This window comes from Homo sapiens, chromosome 5 (genome assembly GCF_000001405.40).
Source record: "Homo sapiens chromosome 5, GRCh38.p14 Primary Assembly".
NCBI lineage: Eukaryota > Metazoa > Chordata > Mammalia > Primates > Hominidae > Homo > Homo sapiens.
Genome location: NC_000005.10, coordinates 42,100,980 through 42,117,383, shown reverse-complemented (window position 1 = coordinate 42,117,383; position 16,404 = coordinate 42,100,980). Strand labels below are relative to the sequence as shown.

General features: G+C 41.8%; 1 annotated feature.

Moving 5' to 3' along the window:
* Nucleotides 1,855–2,024: an enhancer, noted in NCBI's record as "experimental_85089 CRE fragment used in MPRA reporter constructs". NCBI's record gives its function as "activates a minimal promoter by MPRAs in K562 erythroleukemia cells, with activity observed for the non-introgressed 5:42115547 variant allele {active_cell/tissue: K562}" and the evidence as "EXISTENCE:reporter gene assay evidence [ECO:0000049][PMID:34662402]".

Genomic DNA, 16,404 nt, shown 5'->3' with positions numbered 1-16,404 from the left:
TTGGTTCGTTTTGACAGAGTGCTGATTGGAGTGTTTACAAACCTTTAGCTAGACACAGAGTGCTGATTGGTGCATTTACAATTCTTTAGCTAGACAGAAAAGTTCTCCAAGTCCCCACCTGACCCAGAAGCTCAGCCAGCTTCATGTCTCAGTCACCCCTCTAAACAGGACAACCCAACTGCTGTTGGGAATTTGGCCAATGACCACTTAACTACTTCCTGCTGGATAAGGGCAAAGAAGGGGCCCTGCAGTAGTAATGTCCTCCAGAGGGCAACTCTTTAAGCCAGTGGAAGGGCACGTGGGTTGGTCCAGGGGTCCTCGGTAGAAGTTGTTAGTTGAACTCATTTGGGGTTCCATTTGTAAGACCATCTGTAGCTTGATGGCCTTGATTCTAGAGGAAATGAATTTAACAAGAAGGTTAAAGATACAAGGCCCAAAGGTGAGTAACAGTAACATGGCTGCCACGGGACCTAGAAAGGGGAGAAGCCATGTTGCCCAACTCCAGAGGTTGGTATAAGAGTTTGAAAGGCGTTGTCTGATTTCAGAAGCCTTTTCCTGTAAATGCCGGGCAGCGTCTCATAGTATCCCTGACTGGTCAGTGTAAAAACAACACTCTTCCCCTAAGAAGGTGCAGAGTCCTCCTTTCTCAGCTGTGAGGAAGTCTAGGCCTAGGCGGTTTTGGATAGTTGCTGCTGCCAAAGAATCTATTTGGGATTGTAGAGTAAGGATAGATCTCATTATTTCTTGTAAACTGTCTGAGAGACAGATATCGGTTGAGATTCCATGTAAGAAGAATATGCCTTGGCGAGGTAGACAGAAATTTACCCTGACTTTTAAAGGAATAGGATACACTTTTTTCTTTACTGCTTCTCTTTCTCTCTTTCTTTGACTCCTTGTTTGTCTGTCTCTCTCTTTCTCTCTGACTTTCTCTCTGACTCCCCTTTTTTCTCTTCCTCTCTTTCCTTCTGACTTTCTGTCTCTCTGTCTCTTCCTCTGTCTCCTTCTCTTTGTCTCTGTTTCTTCCTCTCTCTCTCTTTCTCTGACTTTCTGTCTCTTTCTCTCTTTCCTTTCTGCTGATCTTTCCCTGCCTCTGCCAGCCACTTATGCTGCTGTTCTCCCCTCTCGCTCTCCTTTTGATGGCTTCAGCAGTGTAAGACTGCCACCTCCTTGGGTTTTTGCATTGCATGCAATAACTCCATGGTTTCCTTGTGATACTCAATGGGGGTTCCCCAGAGGTTAGGAACTCCCTTTCTTTCCATATTGCAGCATGGGCATGTAGGATTAGATAAGCATACTTGCTATCTGTATACACATTTATTCTTCTTCCATTTCCCAGTTCTAAGGCTCAGCTAAGTGCCACTAGTTCTGCTAACTGGGCACTGGTCCCTGGGGGAAGAAGCTTACTTTCAAGTATGGTTACATCACTAACTATGGCATAACCTGCCCTTTGTATCCCATGTTTCACAAATGAATTTCCATTGGTGAAAGGTCAGGATTAAGGTCAGGATTAGCTAAGGGGACTTCTAAGAGATCATCTTGGGCGGCATAAGTCTGGACTATAATTTATTGGCAGTCATGCTCGATTGGTTCCCCATCCTCTGGGAGAAAAGTGGCAGGGCTGAGGGCCACACATGTGTGTATTTGAAGCACCGGTCCCTCAAGGAGTAGCACCTGGTATCCAAGCAGGTGGTTGTCTGATAGCCATAAACTTCCTTTGGCAGCTAGTAAGCCATTTATAGAGTAGTCCAGACAGTGAGATCCTTTCCTTGTATTATTTTGATAGCCTCTGACACTAAGACGGCCACTGCTGCAACTACCCTTAAACAGTGAGGCCAGCCTTTTGCTACTACATCAATTTACTTACTTAGGTATGCCACTGATTGTGGGGTTGTCCCACGAGTCTGTGTAAGGACTCCAAGAGCTATCCCTGCTCTCTCTGTGATGTATACAGAGAAGTTTTGTCCTGTCGGAAGGCTTAAAGCTGGAGCTTGTACTAGGGCCTGCTTTAATGTTTTGAAGGCTGTTTCCGCCTCTGGTTCCCATTCTACTAGATGAGTATTTGCCCTCTGGGTTTCCTTGATTCAAATATAGAGGGGCCTGACTCTCTTGCTGTATCCAGGGATCCATAGTCGGCAAAAGCCGGTGATTCCAAGGATCCCCTGCAACTGTTTTAATATCTTAGGGTGAGGATAAGCCAGTATAGGCTGTATTCGTTCCTTGCTGAGGGCCCTGGTCCCTCTGGCTAATATTAGGCCTAGATATTTGACCTGCTATAGGCCAAGCTGGGCCTTCAACCTAGACACCTTGTACCCTTGATTAGCTAGAAAGTTCAAGAAATCTAGAGTAGCCTGCTGGCATGAGGCTTCTGAACTGGTAGCCAAAAGTAAATCATCCACATACTGAAGGACCAGAGTGCCTGGACTTGAGAAGTGGCCTAGATCCTGGGCCAGTGCCTGACCAAACAGGTGAGGGCTATCCCTAAACCCTTGGGGTAAGACCATCCATGTAAGTTGGGGCATGCGGTCTGTGGGATCCTCAAAGGCAAAGAGAAACTGGGAGTCAGAGTGCAGGGGAATACAGAAGAAGGCATCCTTGAGGTCCAGAACCATGAACCATTCTACTTTCTCTGGTATTTGACAGAGCAGGGTATAGGGGTTGGGTACAACTGGATTTAGAGGAATTACTGCCTCATTGATGAGTCTAAGATCTTGCACTAGTCTCCACTGACCGCTCAGTTTTTGTACTCCTAGAATTGGGGTGTTGCAGGGACTGCTGCATTTCCTTACTAAGCCTTGAGCTTTTAAATGTTTAAAGTATCCTGCAATCCTTTATGAGCTTTAGGCCTTAAGGGATATTGCCTTTGATAAGGAAAAGCGATAGTGTCTTTTAGCCAGATTTGGACTGGGCAGGCATTTTTTTGCCCTTCCAAATTGTCCTTCCAATTCCCAGACTTCAGGGTTGATTCCCTCTTCAAGTAGGGGACAACAAATGGGTAACTTGTTCCCCATATTCATGTAGATAATAGCTTCAGCTTTGGCCAATATATCCTTACCTAATAAGGGTGTGGGACTTTCAGGCATAACAAGAAAGGCATGTGAAAAGAGAAAAGTCTCCCAATTACAACTGAGGAGGTGGGAGAAATACCTGGTTACAGGCTGTCCCAGGATTCCTTGGATGGTAACGGATCTTGAGGACAGTAGTCCAGGACAGGAGATTAACACTGAGAAGGCCATGCCATTGTCCAGGAGGAAGTCAATTTCCTGGCCCTCAATGGTTAAGCAAACCCAGGACTCAGGGAGGGTGATGACATGAGCTGGCACTTGCCCCTTGAGGGAGTTGGGTCACAGGGAAGTATATTTCCTTAAGGCCTCCCATAGCCGCTCGAGGAAGGTAGAAGGATTTTCTTCCTTTGCCTGAGTTATGGTGGACATCATTGAATAATTCATGGGCTTTTCCCTAATTCTCATTAGTCCTTCTAGAATGCAAATCAACAGATGTTTACAACTACAGTCCCCATGATCTGAGTCAAGGTCCCAGTGGGGATCCATACTGGGGATGGCTTGCTGACTGGTAGGGAATTTGTCCCTTTCTTTGGCTGTCATTCTATCATTTACTTGACTAAGATGCCAGGTATCTCCAAACTCTTGGGCTGCAGCTAAAGCCACATTCTTTTCATTAAAGGCCATGGTTTGATCTAACAGTAGCATGACATCTCTCCAAGTGAGGTTGAAGGTTTGCCCTAGACCCTTTAGGACATCTATGTACCTATCAGGATCATCTGAAAATTTCCCCAGGTCTGCCTTGATCTGCTTTAAATCAGACAGGGAGAAAGGGATGTGTACCCAGATTGGGCCAAATTCCTCTCCCCCTACAGCTTGAAGGGGACATAACCGATAGCCCAGGTGTTTTTGTGGGCCTTTGGAGATTTCTTTGCTTACTTCCTTCTGGGCAGGGGAGATTAGAGGAGGCTTATCATTAATAGGAAGGGGAGCTATAGGGAGGCTAGGATATGGGGGTAAGCTGAGAGGTCCTCCTGTGGGATGTAAATTGCAAGCTTTGCATTATTTGTGTATTCTCCTTCAATGAAAAGAAAGCTTGGACATAAGGTATTTCATTCCATTTGCCTTCCCTCTTACAGAAAAGGTCAAGTGGCAGGATAGTATTGTAATTTATTCTTCCTCAGTTGGCCATTTTTCCCTGTCAGAGAGATAATATTGGGGCCAGGCCATAGTGCAGAAAAAAATGAGCTGTCTCTTTTTCAGGGTTTGTGGGTCAAATTGGTCCCAATGGCTTAGGATGCATTTCAAGGGTGAGCCTGTTGATGCCTGAGTGTTTCTCATCTGAAAGACAAAACTGCCTGTGGTTTTTTTTGTTTTGTTTCTCCCCCACCCAAGAACCTGCAATGGTTCCAGGACCCTGCTGATTGGAATAGTTGTGCTCACCGACACACCAGCAGAAACACTAGTTTTCCTCCCAGACCACAAGGAGGACCAAGGAAGGTCAGATTTAGTGGCCCTTACTGATGCATTCTCAAAAACCTGTACCCTTGCCTGTCCTCCTAGACCACAAAGAGGACCGAGAAAAATTGGATTTAGTGCCCCTTACCAACGCATTCTCGAAAACATGTTAGAGTCCTAAGCATTCTCCTGTTAGTATTGGGACCTTACCTGTGTCTTATAAAGATGTTATGCCCCAAAAAAGTGGAGGGCCATACCTTGAGGGAGGGAAGGGATCTCCAGGGTTGGAAGAGTGACACCTTTTGTCCTCACTTATATGAATAGGAAGGATACAATTTCTGAGGCTCCTCATATCCCAGCTTCAGGAATAGCTTTTGCTAGGCCTGCTAGTCTGAGGAGTTATCCTAAAATTCCAGATAGTCCCCACCATGATGGGGCTTTGGGCAAAAATTATTTATTTCTGATTGGTGAACCCATGTGCCAAAAGAAGGTAACAGAGACCTGAAGTTTATAATAGAAATCATTCTTATAGGAGAAACTAGAAAGGCACCAGAGACAGGGAGTGATCCTTAGAAGTGGGACTAGCCTCGGAGAAGAGAGGCTAGAGGAAGTTTGTCTGGCAGGCATCAGGACCCAGGAGGCAAGGGTCAGAGTAGGTAGAATAGATGCGTGAGTCTCACTTGGGCGACATGCCTTTGAGAGTTCTGCTCATGGCCGCAAGGTCGACCAACTTGTTGTTGGGAACCTGGAGCTGAATGGCTTTACTCTCTGTTGACCCTTGGCCCAGCCCAGAAGTACAGGAAAAGTGGAAGCTGGTTCCAGGCAAACCAATGCTCCCAACTCCGAAGAGTCAGGGGTTGTTAGAGAGCCCTTTCCCAGAAAGCCTGACACCCATGTCTTTATCCGGCTGCCATGCTAGTCACTTTTAACTGGCTAACAGGTGCCCGGTATTTAGCCCCCGAATTCTAAGGAAAAATAGGACAGAATAGCAAGTGAAAGGGGTCCCACGGTACTCACTGCTTGGTGATAGGCAATAGTCTTACCACTTGGCAATAGGTGACGGTCCCTTTGGGGTCATGAAAATGTGTCCAGAATTGGTGGGTTCTCGGCCTCACTGACTTCAAGAATGAAGCCATGGACCCTCGTGGTGAGTGGTACAGTTCTTAAAGATGGTGTGTCTGGAGTGTGTTCTTTCTGATGTTCGGACATGTCTGGAGTTTCTTCTTTCTGGTGGGTTCATGGTCTCCCTGACTTCAGGAGTGAAGCTTCAGACTTTCACAGTGAGTGTTTTACAGCTCTTAAAGGTGGCACATCCAGAGTTGTTCATTCCTCCCGGTGGGTTCATGGTCTCACTGGCTTCAGGAGTGAAGCTGCAGACCTTCACAGTGAGTGTTACGGCTCATAAAGGTAGTGCAGACCCAAGATTTATTGGGTGGTGCAGCAAGATTTATTGCAAAGAGCGAAAGAACAAAGCTTCCATAGCGTGGAAGGGGACATGAGTGGGTTGCTGCTGCTGGCTTGGGTGGCCTGCTTTTATTCCCTTATTTGGCCCCACCCACATCCTGCTCATTGGTCCATTTTACAGAGAGCTGATTGGCTCATTTTACAGAGTGCGGATTGGTCCATTTTACGGAGTGCTAATTGGTCCATTTTGACAGAGTGCTGATTGGTGCATTTACAAATCTTTAGCTAGACACAGAGTGCTGATTGGTGCATTTACAATCCTTTGGCTAGACAGAAAAGTTCTCCAAGTCCCCATCTGGCCCAGAAGCCCAGCTGGCTTCACATCTCATTAATATATGAAATTTGGAGAGTTCTCTATTTCTTATTAGTGAAATTATTCTTAAGAACGTAGATTGGCCATTATTGATTCAACAAATATTTGTTGAATATCTGGTCTGTGCAGGGCCTTTTACTAGGTGCTGGGCTTCCAGAAATCAGAGACCCTTCTGGAGTTTTGTAAGAGGTCGCAGTGAAGGACACAGGTAAGCACATAGACATTACAATACATTGTCATAAATGTTGTGATAGAGATGAGTAAAAGGGAGTTGTGAAGCACACAAAGAAGACACTTGAACAGAGAGGTAAAGAATCTTAAACAGGGTGTCTTGTAATCTGGATTCTTAGAGATGAGTAGCTGTTATGAAATAAGGCAGGCAGAGAGAGTTGCAAGCACAAAAGCACTGAAAGGGGGAAGAAGAGCTTACAAAATTACAGACAGCACCATGCGTCTTGAACATCATGCTCTAAATTTCAAATTGGAAGAAATGAAATGGTAGCAAATGGAGCATTATTTAATCAGAGCAGAGAAAGGTTCACCTGAAAATAATACTACAGCTTAAAAATAATGAATTAGAAATAGACTGCATCAGTTTTTTAGAATTTTTTTTAATCCACCAAGTTGGATACGATTTTGGGCTTTAAAAAGTAAAAGTAAAAATTTAATACTGGTGTCAGAAATAGTACACAAACTTAATCAAGCTTTTATTTTTTAAACAAAGAGGTTTATTTGGCTCATGGTTCTACAGGCTACATGCAAAGCACCCATGTCACGTTTCTGCCTAGGCACACAGACTTTCTGATATATCCTCTGAAATCTAGGTGGAAACTGCCACATTTTCACCATTCTTGCATTTTGCAAGCCTATAGACTTAACACCACTTAACATCACTAAGACTTACTACTTGAGCTCTCCAGTGTGGTGGCCCAAGCAATAGTTGGGGCCTTTTGAGCTGTGGCTGGAGCTGGATCAGCTAGGATGCAAGGAGCAGCATCCCAAGGTGGTACACAACATTCTGAGGTGGTACAGGGAAGTGACACCCTGGGCCTGTCCCCTGAAACCATTCTGTCTTCCTAGGCCTCTGTACCTATGATGGGAGGGGCTGCCTCAAAGATTTCTGAAAAGCTTTCAGGGCTTTTTTTAGTCCATTGTCTTGACTATTAGCACGTGGCTCTATTTTAGCCATGCCAATCTCTAGCAAAAGGTCTCAGCTGCATCCTTGGATTTTTCTCCTGAAATCCTCTTTCATTCTCTACCAGTCTGTGCATTTTCCAAATGTTTACACTCTGCTCCCCTCTTAATTAAAAATTCCACCTTTAGGTCATTTTTTTTTTTTTTTTTTTTTTGCTGCGGTATCTAATTGTAAGCTGTTAGAAGTAGCCATTGCACTTCTTGAAGACTTTGCTGCTTGGAAATTTCTTCCACCAGGTACTATAGGTTATTACTCTTAAGTTTGGCCTTCCACAAAGCCCTAGGGCATGGACACAATGGAGCTAAGTTCTTTGCTGCAGCATAACAAGGGTGACCTTTGCTCCAAGTCCCAGTCAGTTCATTTCTATTTTGTGGGGGTCTGTCCTGTAGAACCTGACCCAACGATGGATGAATAAAGTACACTGACACACAGATACTCTGCTTTGCCAGTCCAGTTGAGTTTCTGGGCCGCTTACAGACTCCACACAGAGTGCTGTAAACAGTTGTGACAGGGCCCTGACCAGCCAGTGAGACTTGCATTTATTCAGTAAAGATTAATTGACAAAGGCTTGAGCCAACACTGCTAGAGGGTAATTGACATTATAGACTTCCCGAGTAGAAAGCAATTAAGCACCCACTGTAGAACAAAGGTTAGTCTTAAGACCACATGTGTAAACAAGTTAGATAAATTCCCCACATTCCTTTGTTTCTACTCTAATTTATTTAACTAAAGGTAAGGGTATCAGGCTGCCTTCAGCCAGATGTATTACAGAAGTTATACAAACTCTCAGGCCTTCCAAGAGGGTTTGTGGCTATCATAACTAAAATTTTTCCCACCAGCCTGACTGAATGCCCACACTATCTGAGACCTCAGTATGACCATTATGGTCTATATTTCTATCAGCATTTTAGTCACAACCACTTAACTAATCTCTAAGAAGTTCCAAAGTTTCCCCATCATTTTATCTTCTTCTGAGCCCTCCAAACTCTTCCTGTTACCTAATTCCATAGTGCTTTAACATTTTTTTTTTACAAAATTCTTCTAAATTTGAAAATAAATTTATTGGTAAGTGGTTTGCATGGTAATTCTTTCACATGATTTTCAGCTTGGCTCCTTAAAGCTAATTAGCACATTTATTTCTAAATTATAAATAAAGCTATTCCTAAGAATTTGGCTTTAATCCTAACCCTTGCTTTAACCCTAATGTTTGTCAAACAGATAAGGATCTGTTTATTTAAGAGATATCAAATAAAAAGCCCTTTGGTAAACAACCATCTGTGTGCTCACTTACTTATTGGATGAGTCATTCATTAAACAAGTACTTAATGGATAGCAACATATAACAGACAGTTTTATAAGTCCTAAGGATACTGCTATGAATGAGTCAAAGTCCCAGTACTTTTCACCATTCTGACTAGCATATGGCAACCAAAAAATGGCCATGTTAGTAAATAAATAAATTAAACAAATTTCCATATTTATGCATATATATTTTATATTAAATTTAAGAAATAATGAATTAATATGTAAATAATTTAAATTCAGCAAGTGATAGAAAATGAAGTATATGGGATAGAGGAGGTTGGTTGCTTGAGCTATTTACAAAGGCCTCACTGAGGAGGTGAATTTTAATCTATAACTTAAAGAATGAGAGAGAATTACATAAGAAACTGGGAGAAAAAATAGCAAACTAGATTTCCTGAAAAAACTCCCAAGAAAAAATACCTAGGAATGCTGAATAAAATGTCAGAAGATTTCTTTTTATTTCTATAACTGAGTTTTTAAAAGTTAAGGAACTCTTCAGAGATTAAAAAAAAGAAGTTCTATACCTGAATCTATGCCTCGAGGACATATCTGATAAGAGGAACCTAGAGACTTGGTTTTGTTGGCTCGAGGAAAAAATTCCCATAAAGGTTGTACAGTTGGAAATGAGTTCTCAACCTAAAGCTGGACACATTGAAAGACCATACCTCAGTGGAAGATTAAAAAAAAAAAAAAAGCTTCCTTCTTAGGGAGATAAAAAGGTAACTTGTCTTTTTTGGTCCTTGTTTGGGCAGAGGAAAATATTTGTGATCATATATAAAATACTGCACATAGGTTACCAAGATGATGGAAGGTAACCTGCTCATATACCCCCATAAGAAAAAAAATTCTGTATACATCCACAGACAAAAGTCTCTCTATCAGGATTCAGATAGAAGTTTGTGAAATCCTACTGGAATCCAAGTCCTTGAAGGATCATTTTGAGAATGCAGACCAATACTTGAGTCACTAATCCTCCAAGCTTGCTCCCAGGCTGAAGCTCAGAAGCAGCCTAGTTCTCTAAGGGGAATGGCTAGAAGCCTGTTTGCCTTGAACCTGCAACCAAAACCATCTGCCAAAGAGTCCAGAAAGAATCACACACACTAGTGCCTTGGCAGAAAGGCTTCTCTGTCCATTGGTAGCAGTCACAGGAAAAAACTTGAAAGTTGCCTTGTGACTCAGCTCCAGTGTGCCCTCAGCTGAGCTCCCTGCTCATAGCTACCTGCACAAGCATCCAAAGGGAGTCTCACCTATATCTTGCAGCCCGGGAATCTGAGCCACCCTGATAGGCTCACCAATCTCCATCCCACAGCAGATTCCAAGAGGCACCAGTCCCAGCTCTGGCCTCCCCTGTTGCAATCAAGAATCTACCTATCCAGCTTTTGCAGGAACCTGCTGGGTGGTACCTAACAATCTGGGCCAATAAAACAGTTCCACCAACCTCATTTCCACAGCATATTCTGAGGGGTCTCAGTCTCAACCCCAACCCGTCTCATTGCAGTCAGGAATCTATCCGACCCATGCAGATACCTGCTGGGAGGTATGCCAGTATGAGCCACTGAGGCAGTCTTCTGGACTCAGGTATTTGTCCAGTGTTTGCTCACAGCCTTGGATCTTTCCCAGGTTCATCTGGCTGGAAAGCCATGTCAACCTCAGGTTTCCCATAAGACACATGGTAAGCGTGGACTTAGAGGGTCCTTCAGTGCTGAGATAGCTGCAGTGTTCATAGGTTCAGAGAACTCAACAGTCAGTCTGCTTAGGATCACTGGAAAGATGTCTGAAGAAGGATAGTCACAAACAAAGCCAGAATGTGAAGACTAAAATAAATATTTAATCCTTCAATACATAAACAATGTCACATGTCCAGAAGCATCAAGAACATTCAGGGAAATATGACTTCAAATGGACCAATAAAGTATGAGAGACTGAACCTAAAGTAATGGAGATATGTGATCTCTGAAAGAAAGAATTCTAAACAGCTGTTTTAAGAAAGTTCAACAAAGTTCAAGAAAATACAAATAACCAATTAAGAGATTTAGGAGAGAGATTGAAATAATTTCAAAACAACAGGCAGAAATCCATGAACTGAAGAAGACAATTAATAAAATAGAAAATGAAACAGAGAATCAGCAGCAAAATTTATCAGACAGAAAAAAGAATTAGTGAGCTCAAAGGCAGACTATTTGAAAATGCAGTCAGAGGAGAGAACAGAAAAATAACACAAAGGAGTAAACAAAGCTTACAAGATCTATGGGACAACATTAAAAGAACAAACATTTGTGTTATTGGAGTGAAATACAGAACTGAGAAAGACAATGTAGTAGAAAGTTTATTTAAAAAAAAATAACAGAAAACTTTTAAACCATACAGAAAGATGTAAGCATCCACATTCAGGAAGGTCAAAAGTTACAATCAGATGCAACCCAAATAAAAATTTCCCAAGATATTTTATAATCAAACTCTCAAAGATCAAAGACAAGGAGATAATCCTGAAAGTAGAAAAAGAAGCAAATAATATATAAAGGAAATCTGATACACCTAGCAGCAGACATCTCAGCAGAAATGTTATGGCCTGGGGGCAGTGGGAAAATATATTGAGTGCTAAAGTAAAAAATTACCAATAAAGAATACTATACTTAGAAAATGGAGGAGAAATTAAAACTCCCAGACAAACAAAATCTGAGGGAATTTATCTCTACCAGACCTGTTCTACAGGAAATGCTAAAGGCAGTTTTTTTAATTAAAAGGAAAGGACACTAAAATGAGGGTGACACTAATATTGTAATTGTGATGTGTTAACCACTTGTATCTTTCCTAAGAAAACTAAAAGGCAAAACGATTAAGAATAAAAATAACTCCAACAATTTATTAACAGATAGGCAATATAAAAAATCACATTGTAAGACCCAATTGCATGTTGTCTTCAAGGTACTCATCTCACGTGCAATGATTCTTACAGGTTAAAGGTAAAGGGATGGAAAAAGATCTATCAAACAAATGGAAAACAAAAAAGAGCAGGGGTTGCTATTCTCATTTCAGACAAAACAAAACTTAAACCAACAATGATCTAAAAGAACAAAGAATACCATTATTTGATAATGACATTACTTGATAAAGCATCCAATTCAAGAAGAATTAACTGTCCTAAATATTTTTGGCCAGGTGTGGTGGCTCATGCCTGTAATCCCAGCACTTTGGGAGGCCAAGGTGGGTGGATCATGAGGTCAGGAGTTCAAGACCAGCCTGGCCAACATGGTGAAACTCCACCTCTACTAAAAAAAAAAAAAAAAATTAGCCAGGCGTGGCGGCCCATGCCTGTAATTCCAGCTACTCAGGAGGCTGAGACAGGAGAATCGCTTGAACCTGGGAGGCGGAGGTTGTGGTGAGCCTAGATTGCACCATTGCACTCCAGCCTGAGCAACAGAATGAGACTTCGTCTCCAAAAAAAAAAAATAAATAATTATGCACCTAATACTGGATCACCCACACAATAATAGTGGGAGACTTCAACATCCCACTACGGTATCAGACAGATCATCTAATGAAGATATTTGGGACCTAAACTTGACATCTGACCAAATGGACCTAACATATATCTACAAAACATTCCACCCAACAACAATAGAATATACATTTTTCTCATCTCCACATGGCACGTACTCTAAAAGTGACCATATATGTGGTCATAAAGCAATTTTCAGAAAATACAAAAAAACTTAAAATTATACCAACCACATTCTCAAACCACAGTATAATAAAAATAAAAATCAATACAAAGAAACTCTCGCAAAACCATAAAATTACATGAAAATTAAACAACCTATTCCTGAATGACTTTTAGCTAAACAATGAAATTAAGGCAGAAATCAAGAATTTATTTGAAACTAATGGAAACAAATATGCAATATACCAGAATCCCTGGAACACAGAGAAGTGTTCAAAGGGAAGTTTGTAGTGCTAAATGGTCACATCAAGAAGTGAGAAACATCTCAAATTAACAACCAAACCTCACACCTAGAGAGATATGAAGAATAAGAGCAAACCAACTCCAATGCTAGCAGAAGAAAATAAATAACCAAAATCAAAGCTGAGCTGACTGAAATGAAGATGAGAAAAGAATCTACAAAAGATCAACCAAACTGAAAAGTGGTTCTCCAAAAGAATGATAGCTTACTAACTAGACTAACAAAGGAAAAAAAAGAAGATAAAAATAAACACAATCATAAATGACAAAGGGGTCATTACCATTAACCCTTCAGAAATACAAAAAACACTCAGATGAACGTAGACTATTAGGAACACTTCTAAGCACATAAACTAGAAAACCCAGAAGAAACAGATAAATTCCTGGAAATATACAACCGTTCAGTATTGAACCAGAAAGAAATTGAAATATGGAACACAATGTGGTCTGAAGTTGAATCAGCAATTTTGAAAACTTACCAACCAGAAAAATCCCTGGACCAAATGGATTCACAGCCAAATTGTACCAGACATATGAAGAAGAAAAAGAACCAAATCTAGTAAAACTGTTTCAAAAAATTGAAGGAGAGGAACTCCTCCATGAGTCATTCTACAAGGAAAGCATCATTCTGATACCAAAACCTGGCAGAGACACAACAAAGGAAGAACATGTCAAGCCAATATCCCTGATGACTATAGATGCAAAAGTACTCCACAAAATACTAGCAAACTGAATCCAGCAGCATATCAAAAAGATAATCCACCACAACCAAGTGGCTTTATTCCTGGGAAGCAAAGTTGGTTCAACATACATAAATCAACAAATATGACTCATCACTTAAACAAAACTAAAAACAAAAGCTACATGATCATCTCAATAGATGCAGAAAGTCCTTTCATAAAATTCAACATCCCTTCATGTCAAAAACCTTCAAAAAACTAGATATTGAAGGAACATTACTCAAAATAATAAGAGCCATATATGACAAACCCACAGCCAATATCAGATTGAATGAGCAAAAGCTGGAAGCATTCCCTTTGAGAACTGTAACAAGAGATGGATACCCACTCCCATTACTTCTATTCAACATAGTACTGAAAGTCCTAGCCAGAGCAATCTGGCAAGAAAAAGAACTTAAAGGGCATCCAAAGAGAAGCCAAGGAAGTCAAATTATCTCTGTTCTCAGATGATGTGATTCTGTACTTAGAAAATGCCATAGCCTCTGCCCAAAGGCTCCTAGAGCTGATAAGCAACCTCAGCACAGTTTCGGGCTACAAAATTAATGTATAAAAATTGTTAGTGTTTCCATACTAATAATATTCAGGCTGACAGTCAAATCAAGAACACAATCTCATTAACAATAGCAACAAATAAAATGAAATCTCTAAGAATACAACAAACCAAGGAGGTGGAAGATCTCTACACAGCGATCTTACAGATTGCTGCTGAGAGAAATCAGAGACAACACAAATGAAAAAATCTTCCATGCTCATGAATAGGAAGAATCAATAATGTTAAAATGGCCATACTGCCTGAAGTAATTTACAGATTCAATGTGATTCTGATTGTATTAGTCCGTCCTTATTGCCGATGAGTGGGTAATTTCTATAAGAAAGAGGTTTAATTGGCTCACAGTTCCACAGGGCTGTGGAGGCCTCAGGAAACCTACAATCATGGCAGAAGGAGTAGCAAACATCCTAATTTACATGATGGGAGGAAGGAGAAGAGTGACCTAGCAAAAGGGAAAACGCTTTTTAAAACCATCAGATCACATGAGAACTTACTCACTATCATGAGAACACCATGGGGGAAAGCACCCCCATGATTCAATTACCTCGCATGACACCTGGAGATTATGGGAACTACAATTCAGAATGAGATTTGGGTGGGGACATATCCAAACCATATCATTCCACTCCTGGCCCCTCCCAAACCTCTTGTCTTTACATTTCAAAACACAACCATGCCTTCCCAGCAGTTCCCCAAAGTCTTAGCTCATTGCAGCATTAACCCAAAGTCCAAAGTCTCATCTGAAACAAGGCAAGTCCCTTCAGCCTATGAGCCTTTAAAGCCAAAAGCAAGTTAGTTACTTCCTAGATACAATGGAGGTACAGGTGTTTGATAAATACACCCATTCCAAATGGGGGAAATTGGCCAAAATGAAGGGGCTACAGGCCCCATGCAAGTCCAAAATCTAAGGAGGCAGTAATTAAATCTTAAAGCTCAAAATAATCTCCTTTAATTCCATGTGTCACTTCCAGGTCACACTGAAGCAAGAGGTGGGCTCCATGGCCTTGGGCAGCTCTGCTCTTGTGGCTTTGTAGGGCACAGCCCACATCCTGGCTGCTTTCATGGACAGGCATTGAGTAGCTGCAGCTTTTTCAGGTGCATAGTAAAAGCTGTAGGTGGATCTACCATTCTTGGATCTGAAAGACAGTGGATCTCTTCTCACAGCTCTACTAGGCAGTGCCACAGTGGGGACTCTGTGTGGGGGCTTTGACCCCACATTTACTTTCTGCACTGCCCTGACAGAGATTCTCCATGAGAGCTCTGCCCCTGCAGCACACTTCTGCCTGGATATCCAGGCATTTGCACACATCCTCTGAAACTAGGTGGAGGTTACCCAACCTCAATTATTGACTTCTGTGCACCCACAGGCCCAACACCACATGTAAGCTGCCAAGGCTTTGGGCTTGTACCCTATGAAGCAATGGCCTGAGCTGTAATTTGGCTCCTTTTAGCCATGGCTGGAGCTGAAGCAGCTGGGACACAGGGCACCATGTCCTGGGGCTGCATAGGGCAGGGGTGCCCTGGGCCCAGACAATGAAACCATTTTTTCCCTCCTAGGGCTCTAAGCCTGTGATGGGAGGGACTGGCATGAAGGTCTCTGACATGCCCTGGTGACATTTTCCTCACTGTCTTGGTAATTAACATTTGGCTCCTTGTTACTTATAGAAATTTCTGCAGCCAGCTAGAATTTCTCCCCAGAAAGATGGGTTTTTCTTTTCTATTTCATAATCAGGCTGCAAATTTTCCAAACTTATGCTCTGCTTCTCCTTGAACACTTTGCTGCTTGCATATTTCTTCTGCCAGATACCCTAAATCATCTCTCTCATATTCAAAGATCCACAGATCTTTAGGGCAGGGGAAAAATGCCACCAATCTGTTTGCATAGCAAGAGTGACCTCTACTCCATTTCATAACAAGTTGCTCATCTCCATCTGAGACCACCTCAGCCTGGACTTTTGTCTGTATCACTATCAGCATTTTGGTCAAAGCCATTCAACAAGTCTCTAGGAGGTTCCAAACTTTCCCACATCTTCTTGTCTTCTAAGCCCTCCAAGTCTCTAGGAAATTCCAAACTTTCCCATATTTTCCTGCCTTCTGAGCCCTCCAAACTGTTCTAACCTCTGCCTGTTACACAGTTCCAAAATCGCTTTCACATTTTGGGGTATCTTTACAGCAGTGCCCCACTCTGTGCAGTACTAATTTACTGGGTTAGTCCATTCTCACACTGTTATAAAGAACTGCCTGAGACTGGGTAATTTATAAAGGAAACAGGTTTAATTGACTCACAGTTCTGCAGGGCTGGACAGGCCTCAGAAAGCTTAAAATCATGGGGGAAAGGAAAATAAACATGTACTTCTTTACATGGCAGCAGGAAGAATGAGAGTCAAACGAAGTGGGAAGCCCCTTATAAAACCATAAG